At 43.6% G+C, this 17,954-nt stretch overlaps 1 protein-coding gene across 10 annotated transcripts in view, besides 1 other annotated feature; it reads left to right on the plus strand.

The window, feature by feature from the left end:
* Positions 1 to 17,954, plus strand: part of PEX14 (peroxisomal biogenesis factor 14) — a 155,809-nt gene that overhangs the window by 66,989 nt on the left and 70,866 nt on the right. The gene's annotated exons all lie outside the window — the stretch shown is intronic.
* Positions 14,018 to 14,679: an enhancer, noted in NCBI's record as "NANOG-H3K27ac-H3K4me1 hESC enhancer chr1:10616013-10616674 (GRCh37/hg19 assembly coordinates)". NCBI's record gives its function as "activates a minimal SCP1, AML or CMV promoter by ChIP-STARR-seq in naive H9 embryonic stem cells {active_cell/tissue: H9 hESC(naive)}" and the evidence as "EXISTENCE:reporter gene assay evidence [ECO:0000049][PMID:30033119]".

Here is a 17,954-nt window from a genome sequence, read left to right on the forward strand (position 1 = left end):
GGGGAGGGAACACTTTCAGATTTACCCAGTTACTTTTATGTTTTCCCTGCAACTGAAGACTGATTCTTTTCTTAAACTTGCGTGCCTGTAACAATACTGCAATGAAAAGGAAAGTGACAAAATGACATTGGCATGTATTAGTAAAAAAAAATTTTTTTTACTTTTTGAAAAGGTAAGGCATATACATGGTCTTAAAAATTCAAACAGTAGAGAAGGGTATACAGTAAAAAATAAGTCTTCTCTTCTCATTCTCTCATTCCTGTTCCCCACCCGTTCTCTTTTGCAGAGGATGCTACAGTTTCTTATGTATCATTCCAGAGATAATCTATCCACATGAAAGCATGTTAATATGTATTACTCCCCCACAGAAACACGAATGCTTTCTAAATACAGTGGTAGCATATTTTACACTTTACTCGTATACTTGGTGTTATATCTCGGCAGTCATTCCACATCGATACATACTGACTTGCTTCATTCTTTTCAGTGGCTGCATAATATTCCATTATATGCATGTGTTATCCTTTTAAAAACTAGTCCCGGCTGGGCGCGGTGGCTCACGCCTATAATCCCAGCACTTCGGGAGGCAGAGGCGGGAGGATCACGAGGTCAGAAAATTGAGACCATCCTAGCTAACACGGTGAAACCCCGTCTCTACTAAAAATACAAAAAATTAGCTCGGCGTGGTGGTATGCGCCTGTAGTCCCAGCTACTCGCGAGGCTGAGGCAGGAGAATCGCTTTAACCCGGGAGACAAAGGTTGCAGTGAGCCGAGATCGTGTCACCGCACTCCAGCCTGGGTGACAGAGCAAGACTCCATCTCAAAAATAGAAACAAAAACAAACAAAAAATTAGCCCCAAATTTGTGAGCATTTAGGTTGATTCCTATCTTCTGCTGTCTCAAGCAATGGCCCAATGAATATTCTTGTCGTATACATTGTTGAACGCGTGTTGGTTTGGCACCATGCTGAAGTCAGAGCATTTTTGCATATGGTAAGCAGGATAGGGGATATTTTTCTTGCTTAAATTTCATGGGATTATGTTTCATAGTAAAGAAGATAAAACTTTTTTAAGGTAAACATGGACTATAGGTAGAAGGAAGTTAATAAGAGGAAAAAGAGTAACAAATTGCGGTTAACACTTAGCACAGATTTGGATTTTGAAGGGATGGACATTCTGGTTATGTGAAAAATTCTTGCTTTCTTTTTTTGTTTTGAGACGGAGTCTCGCTCTGTCGCCCAGGGTGGAGTGCAATGGCACAATCTCGACTCACTGCAGCTTCTGCTTCCCAAGTTCAAGCGATTCATCTGCCTCAGCCTCCCGAGTAACTGGGATTACAGGGGCCTGCCACCGCACCCAGCTAATTTTTGTAGTTTTTGGTAGAGATGGGGTTTTACCATCTTGGCCAGGCTGGTCTTGAACTCCTGATCTCATGATTCACCTGTCTCGGCCTCTCAAAGTGCTGGTATTACAGGCATGAGCCACCACTCCCGGCCTGCTCAGTTTTGACCTAGCCATTGAGGGAGGCAGTGGGCACAGAGAGAAAAGAGCAGGAAGGCCTTCGTTAGTGAGGGGAGGCTCAGGCAGAGACGCATGTGCCAGTCGCTGGATTGGCGTGTGAGGAAAAAGAAGGGAAGAGAATTGAGGCTGGTGAGATAGGAAGTGAGGGAGGAGCTGGGGTTAGGACCCAATATTATATAACAGTATTGCCTAGGCTGGAATGTAATGGCATGATCATAGCTCACTGAAGCCTTGAACTTCTGGGCTCAAGCGATCCTTCTGCCTTAGCCTCCCGAGTAGCTGGGACTACAGGCACGTGCCACCACACCTGGTGAGTTTTTTTGTAGAGACAGGGTCTCACTGTGTTTCCCAGGCTGGTCTCAAACTCTCGGCCTCAAGTCATCCTTCTGCCTTGCCTTCCCAAAGCATTGGAATTACAGACATGAACCACGGCACCTGGCCCATGGAGCACAGAGAAACTCTGTTTGAGGAAGTTTACTCTCGGCTCTGTATTGAAACTGACTTGGCCTGGCAATAATAAGACCAGCCACAAAGATGGTCCTGCTGAGTCCGTCTTCAGGTGTGGGGGATCTGGGCCGGGTTGGTAGCAGTAGAGATGGAAATAGAAATGACAGCATATTTATGTAGACAGTTCTACAGTTTACAAAACACTATCACATAGTTGATTTTTTCACTATGACCCTAGTATGTAGTGGGCAGGTTAATGAATATTAGTTGATTTTTTCGCTGTGACCCTAGTATGTAGTGGGCAGGTTAATGAATATTTGTTAAATGAATGAAAACATTATTTAATGAATCTCAGAGTGGCTCTTTTCTCCCATTTTACATAGATGAAGAAATTGAGGTTTAGAAAGGCTAAGTTGAGCTAATACATGGCAGAAGTAGAACTAGAATCTATGTCTTCTGACCAAGATTCTTTGAACTATACCACGTACTTTCTGGAGAGGAAGGACAGAACCACAGACATGGCAGAAGAAAGAGTAAGCCATGCTCAGGAGGGTGTGTGTGGCAAAGGGATGGGCCGAAGATGACTCTCAGGGTTGCTTTTTTTGTGTTAAGCAGCTTTATTGAGGTGTAATTGACATACAGTAAACTACACATATTTAATGTGTGGTTTTAAAAAGTTATGACATATGTATAATTGGGAAACTATCATCACAATTAAGATAATGGACATGCCCAGCATCCCCAAAAGTTTCCTCCTACCCCTTGGTAATCCCTTCCTCCTGTGGTCCCCCCAACCCCCATATCCTGGTTTGCAAGTATGCATTGATCTGCTATCACTATAGATTAGCCTTTTTTTTTTTCTTTTTCTTTTTCTGAGACAGGATCTTACTCTGTCACCTAGGCTGGAGTGCAGTGGCGTGATTACGGTTCACTGCAGCCTTGACCTCCCCGGGATCAAGTGATCCTCCCATCGCAGCCTCCCAGGTAGCTGGGCCACAGGCACACGCCACCAAACCCGGCTAATTTTTTTTGTATTTTGGGGAGATAGGGTTTCACCATGTTGCCCAGGCTGGTCTCGATCTCCTGGGCTCAAGTGATCTGCCCACCTTGGCCTCCCAAAGTGCTGGGATTACAGGTGCAAACTACTGTGCCTGGCCCTAGTTTGCATTTTGTAGAAATTTATATAAATGGAATTATACAGTGTGTAATTTTTTTTGTTCTGGCTTTTCCACTCAGCATAATTACTTTGAAGTTTGGCCATGTTGTTGTATATACTAGTGGTTCATTCCTTTTTATTGCTGAATACTATTCCATTATATGGCTATACTACCTGTTGATGGACATTTGGGTTGTTTTCAGATTTTGGATATTAAAAATAAAGGTGCTGTCAATATTTATAAGTTTTTGTAGGGACATATAATTTCTTTTGGGTACATACTTTAGGATGGAATGGCTGGATCATATAATAGGTGTGTGTTTAACATTTTAAGAAACTTCTCAACTGTTTTTGAAAGTTGTTATACCATTTTACATTCTCACCAGTCATGTATGAGTGTACCAGCATTTTGAGCCTGGAGAATAGGAAGATGAAGGTGACAAATTTTCTAGTAATGAAGCCACTTGACTTTGGAAATATTCTTAAGAGTGACTAAATAATAGGTCATGTTTGGACTACTTCAGCTTTAGAGGCAACAGTGCATAAACTATCTGGGTTTGAATCCTAGCTTCACCACTCTTTAGCTGTGTGGTCCTGCATAAAATACTTAACTTCGTGGTACATTGGTTTCTTTATCTGTAAAATGGGATTAATGATAATATTTACTGCAAAAAATTCTTGTAAGAATTAAATGAAAATTGGCTGGGTGCGGTGGCTCAAGCCTGTAATCCCAACACTTTGGGAGACTGAGACAGAAGGATTGCTTTAGATGGAAGGGTTGAGACCAGCCTAGACAACACAGTGAGATCCTGTCTCTACAAAAAAAATTAAAAATTAGCTGGGCGTGGTGGCGCATGCCTGTGGTTCCAGCTACTTGAGAGGCTGAGGCAGGAGGATTGCTTGAGCCTTGGAGTTTGAGCTTACAGGGAGCTATGATTGTGCCACTGCACTGTAGCCTGGGTGACAGAGCAAGACACTGTCTCAAAAAAAAAGATTGAGGAGGGGGTAGAATTAAATGAAAATGATATGGAAAGTGCTTAGCAGAGTGTCTGGCACCAAAATAAGGGCTTAATTGATGACAACAATCATCAATAGTATATGTTCTCTTAGAAGATATATTCTTAATGGGCTATAGTCAGTTTGCTGTAATTGTATCATAAGAATTCGTGCATCAGGAACCTCTAGGAATTTTGAGCAGAGAGGGATTTAATACAGGCAGTTAGGCCGGGTGCAGTGGCTCAAGCCTGTAATCCCAGCACTTTGGGAGGCCCAGGCAGGTGGATGACTTGAGGTCAGGAGTTTGAGACCAGCCTGACCAACATGGCGAAACCCTGTCTCTACTAAAAATACAAAATTAGCCGGGTGTGGTGACGCTTACCTGTAAACCAAGCTACTTTGGAGGCTGAGGCAGGAGAATTGCCTGAACCTGGAGGCAGAGGTTGCAGTGAGCTGAGATTGCGCCATTGCACTCCAGCCTGGGTGACAGAGCGAGACTCTGTTTCAAAAAAAAAAAAAAAAAAAAAGGCTAGGTGCGGTGGCTCACGCCTATAATCCCAGCACTTTGGGAGGCCAAGGTGGGCAGATCACAAGGTCAGGAGATTGAGACCATCCTGGCCAACACCGTGAAAACCTGTCTCTACTAGAAAAAAAAAAAAAAATCAGCCGTGCGTGGTGGTGGGCACCTATAGTCCCCGCTGCTCAGGAGGCTGAGGCAGGAGAATGGCGTGAACCCGGGAGGCGGAGGTTGCAGTGAGCCGAGATTGCGCCACTGCACTCCAGCCTGGGTGACAGAGTGAGACTCCATCTCAAAAAAAAACAAAAAACGAACAACTACAACAACAGCAAAAAAACCAGATGGTTAGGCACTTACTCACTTAGTGAAAAGGCTAGGAGGGTAGACCCAAGGTTAGGCCTTCAGGAATGACTGCCAGATAATTTGCCAGGGTAGGTGCTACCTCTGTCCTGATCAAGCAGTGGGGAATCAAGAGGCTGTCACTGGAGCTGTGGAGCTCAAGTGCATGTCCTTGCAGCTGTGATCCAGGGACCAAGAAGTTGCTGCTGCCCCCACTGCAAGTGTTGTGTGACACCTGGAAAAGCAACGACAGGACACTGGAATGTGGGCTTGGCTTCTACTTCTGTGAAGATTGGCTCTTGACCCCCATGAAGCTGGAGACTGGACATTACAATAGGAAACCTCAGTGTTTCCAATATCCTGCCTGCCCATCTGCTGATATTTGCAGCAATCAAAAGCAGCAAGAACAGCAGTCCTCTGCCTCATTTCCACTTTCCAAATTGTCCATGAGTGCACCTAATTGGTGGTACCTAATTCCCATCCAGAACTCTAGCTGCCATGGAGGGAAGCATTTTGTGCAATATGGCGCAAATTATGGGTGCGTTAGTCCCCGCCTTAACCACGGAGGAGACGTTCCAAGACCTCCAGTGGATGCCTGAAACCTCGGCTAGTACCGAACTCTGTATGTACTATGTTTTTCTTATGCTTGCATACCTTTGGTAAAGTTTAATTTATAAGTTAGGTACACTAAGAGATTAACAGTGTTAACTAATAATAAAATTGAACAGTTAAAACAATATACTGTCATAAAAGTAATGTGAATGGACTCACCACCTCTCCCAAATTATCTTATTTTCAGGTAACTGAGACTGCAAAAAGCAAAACCACAGATAAAGGGAGACTTCTGTGTATATGTGACAGAAGGATACTTTTATGCTTTTTTAGTCTATTATTATTTTTTTAGAAGACTTGGGCCTTTGTTAGCAACTGTAATGATATACTTCCAGTTTGTCCAAGAGATAAATATTGATGTATTCTGTATCATCACTGGCTTTCGAGATGATTTTAAGAAAACTTGTTGGCTGGGTGCAGTGGCTCACGTCTGTAATCCCAGCACTTTGGGAGGCTGAGGCAGGCAGATCACCTGAGGTCAGGAGTTCGTGACCGGTCTGGTCAACATGGTGAAACCCTGTCTCTACTAAAAATAAAAAAAATTAGCCAGGCGTGGTGGCGCATGCCTGTCATCCCAGCTACTTGGGAGGCTGAGGCAGGAGAATCGCTTGAACCCTGGAGGCGGAGGTTGCAGTGAGCTGAGATCGCGCCACTGCACTCCAGCCTGGGTGACAGAGTGAGACTCTGTCTCAAAACAAACAAACAAAACAAAACAAAAAGAAAAATTTCTTTCTTATCTGGCCTCACTTAGGGATGGAAGTTCTTTTAATGAGATTTATCTGCTAAGGGTAGACAAGAGAGTTTCCACCAAAGGGACTACATGATATGCGGGCTTATTGGAACTGTTGGAAAATGTTAGAAGCAGGGATTTTTGAAACTTAACATAAGGTATAACATAAGGCAATCTCTACTGAAAAACATTTTATGTTGATTGGACTGTAATTAGAAAGATTTAAAAATAACTTTGGATAGTATTCATTAATTTACCAATCCATTGTTATATTCAACACTTTTGAGCTGATGTCTTTTAAAAATCTAAGTTTATCTGTTGGGGGGTGGTGTATGAATTAGTGTATCTGTAATTGTATGAATACGGAGTATTCTTATCTTTGTATGTGATGGTGTGCTTCTATTTTAAATTTATTTTTAACTATAGATAGGCTTGCTAGGTTGGTCATTCCACAGCTTGGTCTTCTTTCCGTTTTTGAAGTAAAGGTAACTCACTAATGGTCCTCAGTAAACAGAGTGATGGGGCAAGCTGACTTATATTTCAATTGTTCTGAGAATTGAACAACTCTACTAATGTTTCCTTTCCAACTTCAAACATACCTGTTCAGTTTCTTCAACATCCTGATAGGAGCTGATCTCCTCAGAACTCTCCCCTCTCATCAGACAGAGGACTTGGGCATGCTCTAATCTCTTACTGTTAATTATTCTTTTTAGTTTTAAAGCCCTTTAAAGTAATCTTTCTGTAATTAGATTGTTGAGTAGATTGTCTTTAGTAATACGGTGGTCTTAAATTTTGTGTGGATTTTCAGATTGTTAAATGGTTGCAGAGGCTTTCATTCATGAAGTTCAAGTTTACTATATCATGGTATGTCAGGAAAAAAAAAATCATGACCCTCTGTGATAAATTAAATATCACAACCACGTAAATGTCATCTTTTCAATGAAACTGAAAGTGCATAGGAATGGGACTCTTTTTCAGTCTGTTTTGGCTTTAAGCTGTAAGAAAAATATTTTAACACTGACAGTAGTAAACCTATGAAGCTAAAGAACAAAGCCATACTCTCCCCAGCTTTATAAGTCACACGCGGAATTGTGAATTAAATTATTCTAATTGCAAAATTTGGGGTCTTGGCCGAAAGAACACAGGTCGAATTTGAAGAAGAGGCAGCTAGAAAAATCGGTGTAACTTTTACGTGAAGATAATTTGCACAGAATGTAATTGAAAGAGAATAAATATGGAGCTCCATGATGTCCTCTTTGAGTCTATTTCTCATATTTACTTACATTTTTTTTTCCCAATCAAAGGCTCTCCTTTAGGCAGTCCTGAAAAGAGGAGACACAGTGCTGAAATAGAAATAAAGGTTAAGTATCTCCGATCCAAAATGCTTGGGACCAGAAATGTTTCAGTTTGGATTTTTTCAGATTTTGGAATATTTGCAGAATATTGTGTTGGTTGAACATCCCTATTCCAAAATCCTCCAATGAGCATTTCCTTTGAATGTCATGTTGGCACTCAAAACGTTTCAGATTTTGGATTATTTTGGATTTCAGATTTTTGGATCAGGGATGCTCAACCTGTAACAGGCAGAAATAATAGAAAATAACAGAAATAACATAAAATAGCACTGTTCTTTGGAAGATCTTAGTACCTTATTTGGAAAGATTTTTACTATTCATTCATCCACCACCCATCCATCCATCCATCCATCTTTCCATCCAACAAGTATTTATTGAGTGCATGTATCTTACAAGGCATGGTGCTGGCCCTGGGAGTGAGGATGTAATGTTACCATTTACATAAAACAAACAGAGGCCTGGGGTGGAAGCAGACTCCACAGAAATATGAACAAACAAGCAAAATACAGATAAGCAAGGTGCTGTGAGAGAGAATAATGGAGAGGGTGGGGTAGGTTTGCATTGGGAAGGTTGCTGAGACCAGAAGAATGATAAGTGGTTCTGTGAAGAATGAGAATCCCGGGCAGAAAGGACAGCAAGCTCTCAAAGACTCCAAGGCAGGAAAGGAGCTTGATTTGATCTAGGAACTCCTGCAGCAGTGAGTGAAAATGAGAGTGACATTTTATAGCTTCCATCTGGAGACACCATGGAAAATAAAAGTTCTATTCTCCCAGTCTAGAATTGTCCATGTCAGCTGTGACCAAGTTCAGCTCTGTTCACCAAGCATTCCTCATCTGCTGTTTGCCAAGTGCTATGCTAAGTGCACTGGGGACATAAATGGTCCACACCCTTAGAGAACTTGGTGATGAGGCTGTAGAAGCTACTAGTAATACAGATGTTTTAATTTACAGGCAAGCCTGAGATGATACGGTACAGACTGTATAATAGCCACTGGCATGTGTATTTTGCTTTACAGCTTAAAAGCATTCACACATACATTTGCCCATTTAATTTTCATGGTAACCTAAGTCATTTCCTCAAAAAGTGTAAACATGGGCTTATGAGACATATGGAAGCCCACCCAATTTGAGGAGCAGGGTCTCTGTCATCACTGAGTTGAATTTCAGGGTGTAGTCTGCGCCTGTGCTCTCCCCTTGAAGAATCACATTGTAGAAAATGAAATCTAGAATGACTACAGAGGTTACTTAGTTCGTCTATACCTTTTCATATACATTTCAGTAATTATTTTGCTACATAGGAAGTGAATTTAATTTGGAGTTTTTCCTGCTGCCTTCCATGAGGGCTTTCATCCTAAGCCCCATTCTTGTGTGTGAGAAGAGGAAGTCTTGGGCTTGAGTGTGGCTCTAAAGTAAATGCCGTTGACTTTGTTGTTCTGTATGGACGCTTTTATCAGGACAATAAAGGGTACATAGGGTGACCTCTGCTCCTGTGGAGAGGTCGAATGGTTACATTACACAATCTTCTAGAGCATCTTGCAGCAAATACATGGGTTATATTAAAAATTGCAATCATATCATTTTTTATAGTAAATTGCTGACCTTCTGCAGCGGAATCAGCTTTATTGAATTTCGCCAAAAATGTGTTTATAATTCTGCCATACACACATGATATTCATGTCCTTGCTGTCCATGTGGAAATGTCCCTTTTTATAATGTTAAACAAATTAAATCGACTTTCTCCTGAGCTTCCGTGCCTCACCTTTAAGATCCATTCTCAGGAGTCGAACCTCCATGAAGCCGAGCTCATCTCCATTAGCGTGGATGTCATTACACAGCGCGCTGGAGGCTGGTGCATTAGGCAGCTTTATCCCAGCAGCACGGATTCGGCTTGGAGATTCTTTAGAGGTGACTCCAGGGCAGTAAATGTATTTCACGCATACTGCCTGAACACTAACAAGGCCTTACCATAATTACTCTGTTTGTTTTGGGGAAATGGTAGGTATTTGTTTAAAAGGATTTTGTGGTGAACCAAGAATATACATGTGTAGTTAGTTCTCGCTATTCACTTGTGAATGATGCATTGTAGAAGTTTTATCTTATACCAATTTTTCTTTAATTTTCTGCAGCTCTACTTCCCTTCCAACCAGTTTGGTATCAGGGATGCAAACTAATTTTAATGTTAGCCTAACAAAAATACAATCAGAAAGTTATGGCCAGGCACGGTGGCTCATGCCTGTTTACAGTCCCAGCACTTAGGGAGGCTGAGGCAGGTGTGGAGTTCGAGACCAGCTTGGCCAACATGGTGAAACCCCGCCTCTACTAAAAATACAAAAATTAGCCGGGTGTGGTGGCAGGCACCTGTAGTCCCAGCTACTCAGGAGGCTGAGGCAGGAGAATCTCTTGAACCCGGGAGGTGGAGGTTGCAGTGAGCTGAGATCGTGCTGCTGCACTCCAGCCTGGGCGACAGAACAAGACTCTGTCTCAAAAAAAAAATAAGTTATACTGCATACTGCATACTTAGATGAAACATAAACATTTAAAAACTATCTCCGGGCTGGGTGTGGTGGCTCATGCCAGTAATACCAGCACTTTGGGAGGCCGAGACGGGCAAATCACGAGGTCAGGAGTTCAAGACCAGCCTGGCCAATGTGGTGAAACTCCATCTCTACTAAAAATACAAAAATTAGCTGGGCATGGTGGCGGACGCCTGTAATCCCAGTTACTCAGGAGGCTGAGGCAGGAGAATCGTTTGAACCTGGGAGGCGGAGTTTACAGTGATCTGAGATCACGCCATTGTACTCCAGCCTGGGCAACAGGGCAAGACTCCGTCTCAAAAAAAAAATCTGCTTTTTAGATTCATTTACTCTAAGTTTGTTCATGCCTGTTATCTATATATTTATATCTATGTTTGTATCAATTGTTGGTTCCCAGTTTAGCACATAGAGGCAGTATGATTCACTGGAAAAATCATCTATCCATTTACTAATTATTAAATATCCATTTCCTTCATGTGCCAACATTTGTGCTAAACATAAAAATACAAAAATAAGATTTAATATTTGTAGTTTAGTGGGGTTCCATGATATATAAACAGATGTGGTGTGGGTGATAAAATATTATAGGTGCTATAATAGGTATCTGAGTGGAGGCCTGGGGGGAGAGCGATCAGTTTTGTGGTAGGGGAGGAGAACTAGTGGCGAAGAGGTTAAAAAGGTGCCTCCATTCATGGAGGAGGTCCCCTTTATCCGAGCCCTGCAAGAGGATTAGTTGTTTTTAAGGTCTGAAGCGGATTGGTGACTTTTGTCCATGCAGAGGATGTGATGGGGCATAGCCACTAAGGCGAGAGATCGAGGAGACAGCTTGGAAAGGTGGGCAAAGGTGGGATCAGGGAAGACCTGGCATGTGTTACCTCAAGAGTGTGGATTTTGTTATGTGGACAGTGGGGAAACCACGGAAAAGTTGTATGTGGAATAATAAGTTTCATGCTAGCGTTTTAGAAAGCTCTCTCAAAGGTAGGGCGGGCATTTAGGAGAGGGGAATGATGGATGAACCAGGGCAGTTATTACGGGGATGGAGAGGATGGATTAGAGAGTGAGGAAGCAGAATCTCCTGGGAATTGGTGGCTGAATGGATGCAAGAGTGAAGAAGAGGGAAGAGTCTGGGCTCACTGTCCAAATTTTTGGCTTAGGGAGCTGGTGTGGAGGATAGCAGATGAAAGAGTAGACCAGGAGTGAGAGACGCTGTGAAGAGAGAAGGCCCAGAGGGAGGTGCGGGGGACCCTGTCACGTGGTTAGTGGTTGGCCAGAGGCGGATGCCCCACAGTCAGGCAGTGGCGCTGGCTTCTGCCTTTCAAAGTCGCTTCTACAGGGTGACCGTTAAGCTTGTTCTTTGACACCGACATTGTTAAGTGGTTTCACTGAAATTTGAGACTCTCTGAAGAAAGGGAAGATGGCATTTATGAAGCAAGTGTTATTTTATCTGGAAATGATTTCTCAGGGGTAAGCCTGTCACTCTGCCTCTGGTAAAGTCTGCTTCTCCCTCCAAGAAGAGAAGGTCCCACTGATTTGGGTCATGGTCAGAGTGGGCCGCTACTCCCACCTTCCACTGAAAACTCAGCTTCCAGAAAGCTCCTCTTCACTCCTTTGTCATCTGTTTCCTCATCTGCTCTTCCCTGAGTTTGTCCTTCTCTGTTATATCTGCATGTGTTTCCACTGATCTGCTTGTGACAGTCAACCTGTTTGCTGATCTGGCCTCGGCAATTTTCAGGGCTTCCCTGCACACCTGTGACATGACGGTTAGTTCCCTGACCTTGCATGCACCTCGGTTTTCTGGTAGCAGATGGTCTTTGTGGTACCTTTACTCTTACAAATCAGTGGAGTCAGAAGTTTACAAAATGTGGGCCGGGCGCGGTGGCTCACGCCTGTAATCCCAGCCCTTTGGGAGGCCGAGGTGGGCGGATCATGAGGTCAGGAGATCGAGACCATCCTGGCTAACATGGTGAAACCCCGTCTCTACTAAAAATACAAAAAAAAAAAAAAAAAAAAATTAGCCGGGCATGGTGGTGGGCACCTGCAGTCCCAGCTACTTGGGAGGCTGAGGCAGGAGGATGGCGTGAACCTGGGAGGCGGAGCTTGTAGTGAGCCGAGATCGCACCACTGCACTCCAGCCTGGGTGACAGAGCGAGACTCCGTCTCAAAAAAAAAAAAAAAAGAGAAGTTTACAAAATGTGTGGAGCTGAGGCAGAAAGCCTAAAGGGCAGACTCCAAAAGGGCAGACTCCAAAATGATCAGGACATTAACTGACTTGCTGGGAGATCCCAGAGCACACGCAGAGTCATTGAACTCCATGATACTCATTCCAGGTCACCTTGAAGAGGCAGGGAGAAGGGCATTTTCGCTTCTTGAAGCTTCTGCTCCTCTGCCGGTTCAGCCTGATCTTAGAGCTCTCTTGGCATTGCAGCTGCAGTCAGGTTTTCCTTTTAAATGACTGCAGCCTTCAGATGCCCACACAGTGCAGTCCAGATCTCATGCCTGGGGCTGAAGGTGGACCTGGTTTGGCGGTAAATTATGATCCACAGCTTTGAAAGCATATAGGCTGTATGCTTTTTTTTCTTTTTTTTTTAAAGACAGAGCCTCACACTGTCACCCAGGCTGGAATACAGTGGCGCGATCTTGGCTCACTGCAACCTCCATCTCCTGGGGCTCAAGTGATCTTCCCATCTCAGCCTCCTGAGTAGCTGGGATTACTGATGCGTACCACCATACACCCAGCTAATTTTTGTAGTTTTAGTAGAGATGGGGTTTTGCCATGTTTCCCAGGCTGGCTGTACACCTTTTAAAAATAAAGCCTATCTGAAAGCAAGTTGCTTCTCTAGAGGCATCTTCCTCAGTCTGCTTTTGTCCAGCCTTCCCGTGGAAAGCAGCCTTCTTCTTGATCTGGGGCTGCAGTAAATCACATGCTGGCCATCGCGGGAACACATCCCATCCCTTCCCAAAACCACCTGCAGGACTGACCCTACCCCCCAATAACACACCAACCTGCTGTGTTTTTTACTGACCATTCCTGTCCGGGATAGTCACTGTAGCAGTCTACTTTGGTGGGCTTTTACCTCTCCTATCTGCTTTTTTTTTAATTTACAAATTTTAAATTAAAAAAATTTAAATGAAAGGTTTGGACATTGAGTATTGTTACCCACTCACTTCTGGTGACTCTTCAGACACTCACTCGAAGAGCCTTCCTTCTTCCCTACATACAGAGTCGGGGGGAGAGATGGGGAAAATGACGGAGGAAAACATGCTAAAAATGATTTTCAATGTAAAATAAGGGAGGGAAAAACGAATGTTTGAGGAAACCCAAAAAAAGCACCTCTCATTACAGTAATTAAACCGCAGCGTTTAACCTATCAGAATGTGCTGCATATGTGAGAGACAAGCCAGGGAGCTCTGTGTTTGAAATTAGAGCTCTAATCCTCAGGGAAGAGAATAGTTAAATAATTTGTTTTTGAGGTGTGAGAGCAGAGCCGGCAAGGTGTGAGTGTGTGTGTGTGTGTGTGTGTGTGCATGCACCCGTGAGGGTGAGGGGCCGCAGTGCCTGTGTTTACCAAGAATATCCTGGAGGTAGATATTTATCAGCACCTGTGTGCTGTCAAGAAGCACACAAGCTGCTGTTGCCCGTTCATTAGGTTTTCAGAAGAGTCCGGGCCTCACCTGTGGCCGGGCGTTGCATCATAACAGCAGAACTTGCTTCATTCTGGCCCTCTGGGACACACAGGAATAGATTTGAGAGACAGGATGAGACATACAGAGAAAGACACAAGCATTAGGGGAGGAAGAAAGCCGAATGATCCTGGAGCATGTCCTTGGCGCAGGCACTGCTGGACAAAGCAGTCCATCTCGGTGGGCTGGCACTGCGGAGCCAGCGTGGACATTCCACCGAGCACGAGGCGAAAGGGGCAGCCCAGAGGCCTGCCACTGAAACCGCCTTCTGCAGGCACCGTCTGCCAGTGCTCAGCGCTGTTAGCAGGGCTCCTCCTCTGCTGGGATGAGGGGTTGGGATGACAGGGGTTCACAGTGTCCTGCCTGCCCCTTCAGCAGCATAACCTTTGTCTTTCTGGACTCCTGGCTGGAGCTGGTGATACTGTGAACATGCTGCCTCTCTGGAAGCTGCTCCATGTCTCCCTATATCCCCAGAGCATGGCAGCTGTGATCAGAATTCCACAGGGTGGGGCTGATGAGGATCCATGCACATCCGTCCCTGTACCCCTCATTAGGGACTTGGGTTGGGGGGTGCCTATCTGCACGTGTTCTTTTTCCTCTCACGCACTTTGTCGGTCTCTGTGCAGGGTTTCTATTATACTAATAAGGAGCACTGGGGACGCTGGCGACAGTGTGATAATCGTCCCCTTGGAGGGCCAGAGGCAGTCGGTGTGCGCTGACCTCATCCTGGGGGAGTGCTGATGAAACTCTGGCTTGGCCTTACTGCCTGAGCACTGCGCCTGATGTGGAGGGTTAGGGGGCAGGGTTGCCGGGCTGTTTCTTCTACGGCTTCATTGTTACCAGCCATGCTTGTCTTTGGGGCATTTCATCAAAACTTCTTTAGTTTTGCTTAAGAACTTTAAAGAGCTGATGAGCCTAATGGAAACTTTTCAGTAATAACTCAGTACAGGAACACACTTCACAAATACCAGCTAATTAATCCTCAGAGCACCCTGGGGACAGGGGAGAGTATGGTAATGGCACTGGTGATTTTTATCCCCATTTTATAGACTGAGAGACTGAGGCACCTGGAAGAATCTGTGACTTGGGCCAGAGGGAGGGCACAAATCTGGAAGCTGAGGTTAGAGTGCTTTGCCTTTTGGCCTCTCTTGGGACTGTTGAGTCTTACCTTAAAGTCATTTGAGTAAGTCATTAAGTAAAGCCAGTCACCTTAGATTTTGCCTCTTCTCTCATCTTTCTTTTTTTTTTCCCTGCTTGATACTAGGTCTTGGATGTAACTGGTATCCATCAATACAGATCTCTAGCATCAATTTTAGTAACTGCCTTGTGTTCTGCTGAAAATATATGCCATAATTTATTGTAACCCAGTCCCCTTGATTATCTTCATTTTACACAATTATAGCAACTCTTCTTTAAGTATCCTTGGGAAATAGGTATTACTTTTGTGATTACCTTTGTGGGGTAAAAACCTCAGAGTTAGGCTGGGTGCAATGGCTCACGCCTGTAATCCCAGCACTTTGGGAGGCCGAGGTGGGCGGATCACTTGAGGTCAGGAGTTTGAGACCAGCCTGGCCAACATGGTGAAACCTCGTCTCTACTAAAAATACAAAAAATAGCCAGCTGTGGTGGCGGGCGCCTGTAATCCCAGCTGCTCGGGAGGCTGAGGCAGAAGAATTGCTTGAACCCTGGAGGTGGAGTTTGCAGTGACCTGAGATCGTGCCACTGCACTTCAGGCTGGGCAACAGAGTGAGACTCTGTCTCAAAAACAAAAAGCAAAAAACCTCAGAGCTGCTAATCCTAGGTTAAAGAAAATGGACTTGTTTTCATTTTAATGTACATTGCTAACCTGTGCTTTAAAAAGGTGATTTCAGCTTACAGCCTCAACACCAGTTGGCCAGTGCCCCGAGCACAAGTCTCAAACTTCCACATTGTCAAGTTCACAGTTTCTTCCTTTGTCTAAGCATGGAAAACCCTTCCCCCACTGCAAGGGCATAGAACTATTTGCCTACCTTTTTTTTTTTTTTTAATGATTTTAGTTTTCTTTTATGGAATTTGTGTTGTTGCTAGTTGCGTAACAGGGAATATAACTTTATTTTTTCCTGTTGACCAACTGGATAGTCTCAGCACCATTTATAGAACGATTTATTTCTTTCCCCACTGATTTGACATGTCATCTTTTTCATCTGCTAAATTCTTAAATATACTGATGTGTGATCAGGGACATTCTATTCTCATTCATTGCTGTACTTGTCTGTTGTTGTGCTAATGCTGCAATGTTTTTATTATTATAGATTTGTTACACACTGTATTTGTTAGTATTCGTTGTACTCTTTTGTACAAAAATATAAAAATTTTGTATTTTTAATAGAGATGGGGTTTCTTCATGTTGGTCAGGCTGGTCTTGAACTCCTGACCTCAGGTGATCCGCCCACCTCGGCTTCCCAAAGTGCTGCGATTACACGTGTGAGCCACCGTGCCCGGCCTGCTTGTATATTTCTTAAGACATTTTAGAATCACTTTTATCATCTTCTTCTTGATCCCACCCCACCCCTACCCACTGCGAATCAAGAAAGAAGATCCCTTTGAAATTTTGATGATAATTACATTCAACATAGAAATTACTTTGGAAGCTGGACGCTGTGGCTCATGCCTGTAATCCCAGCACTTTGGGAGGCCGAGACAGGTAGATCATTTGAGGTTAGGAGTTCAAGACCAGCCTGACTAACATAGTGAAACCCCATCTCTCTACTAAAAATACAAAAATTAGCTGGGCATGGTGGTACACACCTGTAATCCCAGCTACTCAGGAGCCTGAGGCAGGAGAATCACTTGAGCCTGGGAGGCAGAGATTGTGGTGAGCTGAGATTGCACCACTGCACTCCAGTCTGGGCGACAGAATGAGACCCTGTCTCAAAAAAAAAAAAAAAAAAAAGAAAGAAAGAAATTACTTTGGAAAGAATTGGTGTCTTTGCAGTATGCACTCTTTCCATCCACGGATGTGGGGTATCTTTCAAGTAAAATATGTAATGCCCCTCACTGATGGTTTTGTACAGTTCTTGCATAGTTCCTGCACATTTCCTTTAATTCTGAGTACCTGTATTTTTAATTTATTCTTCTTGCTTTAGGATATTTATTTCCATTATATTTTCTAATTGATCTTTGCCAATAGTTAGGAAAGCTGTTGATTTCTGTGTTTTTAGAATTATTTTATTATTTTTAATAGTCCTAATTGTTTTTGTTGGTTCTCTTAGGTTTTCTCAGTAGCATATCACATGAAAATAACATTTTCCTTTTCCAATGTCGTATGACTTTATTATTATTATTTTGACTGGCCCTTCTAGAACAGCTTTAATTAAATATGAGTGCACAAGGAGGTACATTGGGAGGTACAATCACCCCCTTTTCTTTAAAGCATTAATTTAGAGATGAAGAGCATAGGAATATAAGAGACATAGCCATGATGATTCCTAGACTTTTCAAAGTCCTTGCTTTGCAGGACTTTTTCATCTATTTTATTTTTAGTTTTTCACCTATTTGGTCCAGTATTTATTCTTTGGCCAAAAATGGCTTGACATGCTGAAAACCACCTTATTTTAGAGAAGAAAATACACATTATTTCTATTTTGTCAAGCGGAAAAGCTGAAAGGCATTGGAAATAACTCCCAGTCCCTTGGCAAACAGATCAGTGAGTAGACCCCTGTGTGAGACAAAGCCACTGCCTGGAGAGGATGGTGCGGGGGCTGGCGGTCCATTGCCACGGCTGCTGCAGCTCTCAACACCACGGCAGCCTCCCCCCACCACCACCCAACGGTGTACAGCCTGAGTGGAAAGGGCAAGTTTTTGGCCGAAAGAGTAAATGAAACATGGACGCTGTAGGACATCATCAGAAGTGATTATTTATTCTACAGAACTAGAGACTTCTCTTCTCTCAGAGGACAACTGACAGCAGCTTCTGTGTCATCAGGCTGCTGCCCTCACCCTGAGACAGATTGTGGTAAAGGATGGAACAGGGGGTCATTTGATGATCTTAGGCCTGGGGAGCTGCGAGGCTGAGTTCTTGCGTTTTCA

This window comes from Homo sapiens, chromosome 1 (assembly GCF_000001405.40).
Source record: "Homo sapiens chromosome 1, GRCh38.p14 Primary Assembly".
NCBI classification, from domain to species: Eukaryota; Metazoa; Chordata; class Mammalia; order Primates; family Hominidae; genus Homo; species Homo sapiens.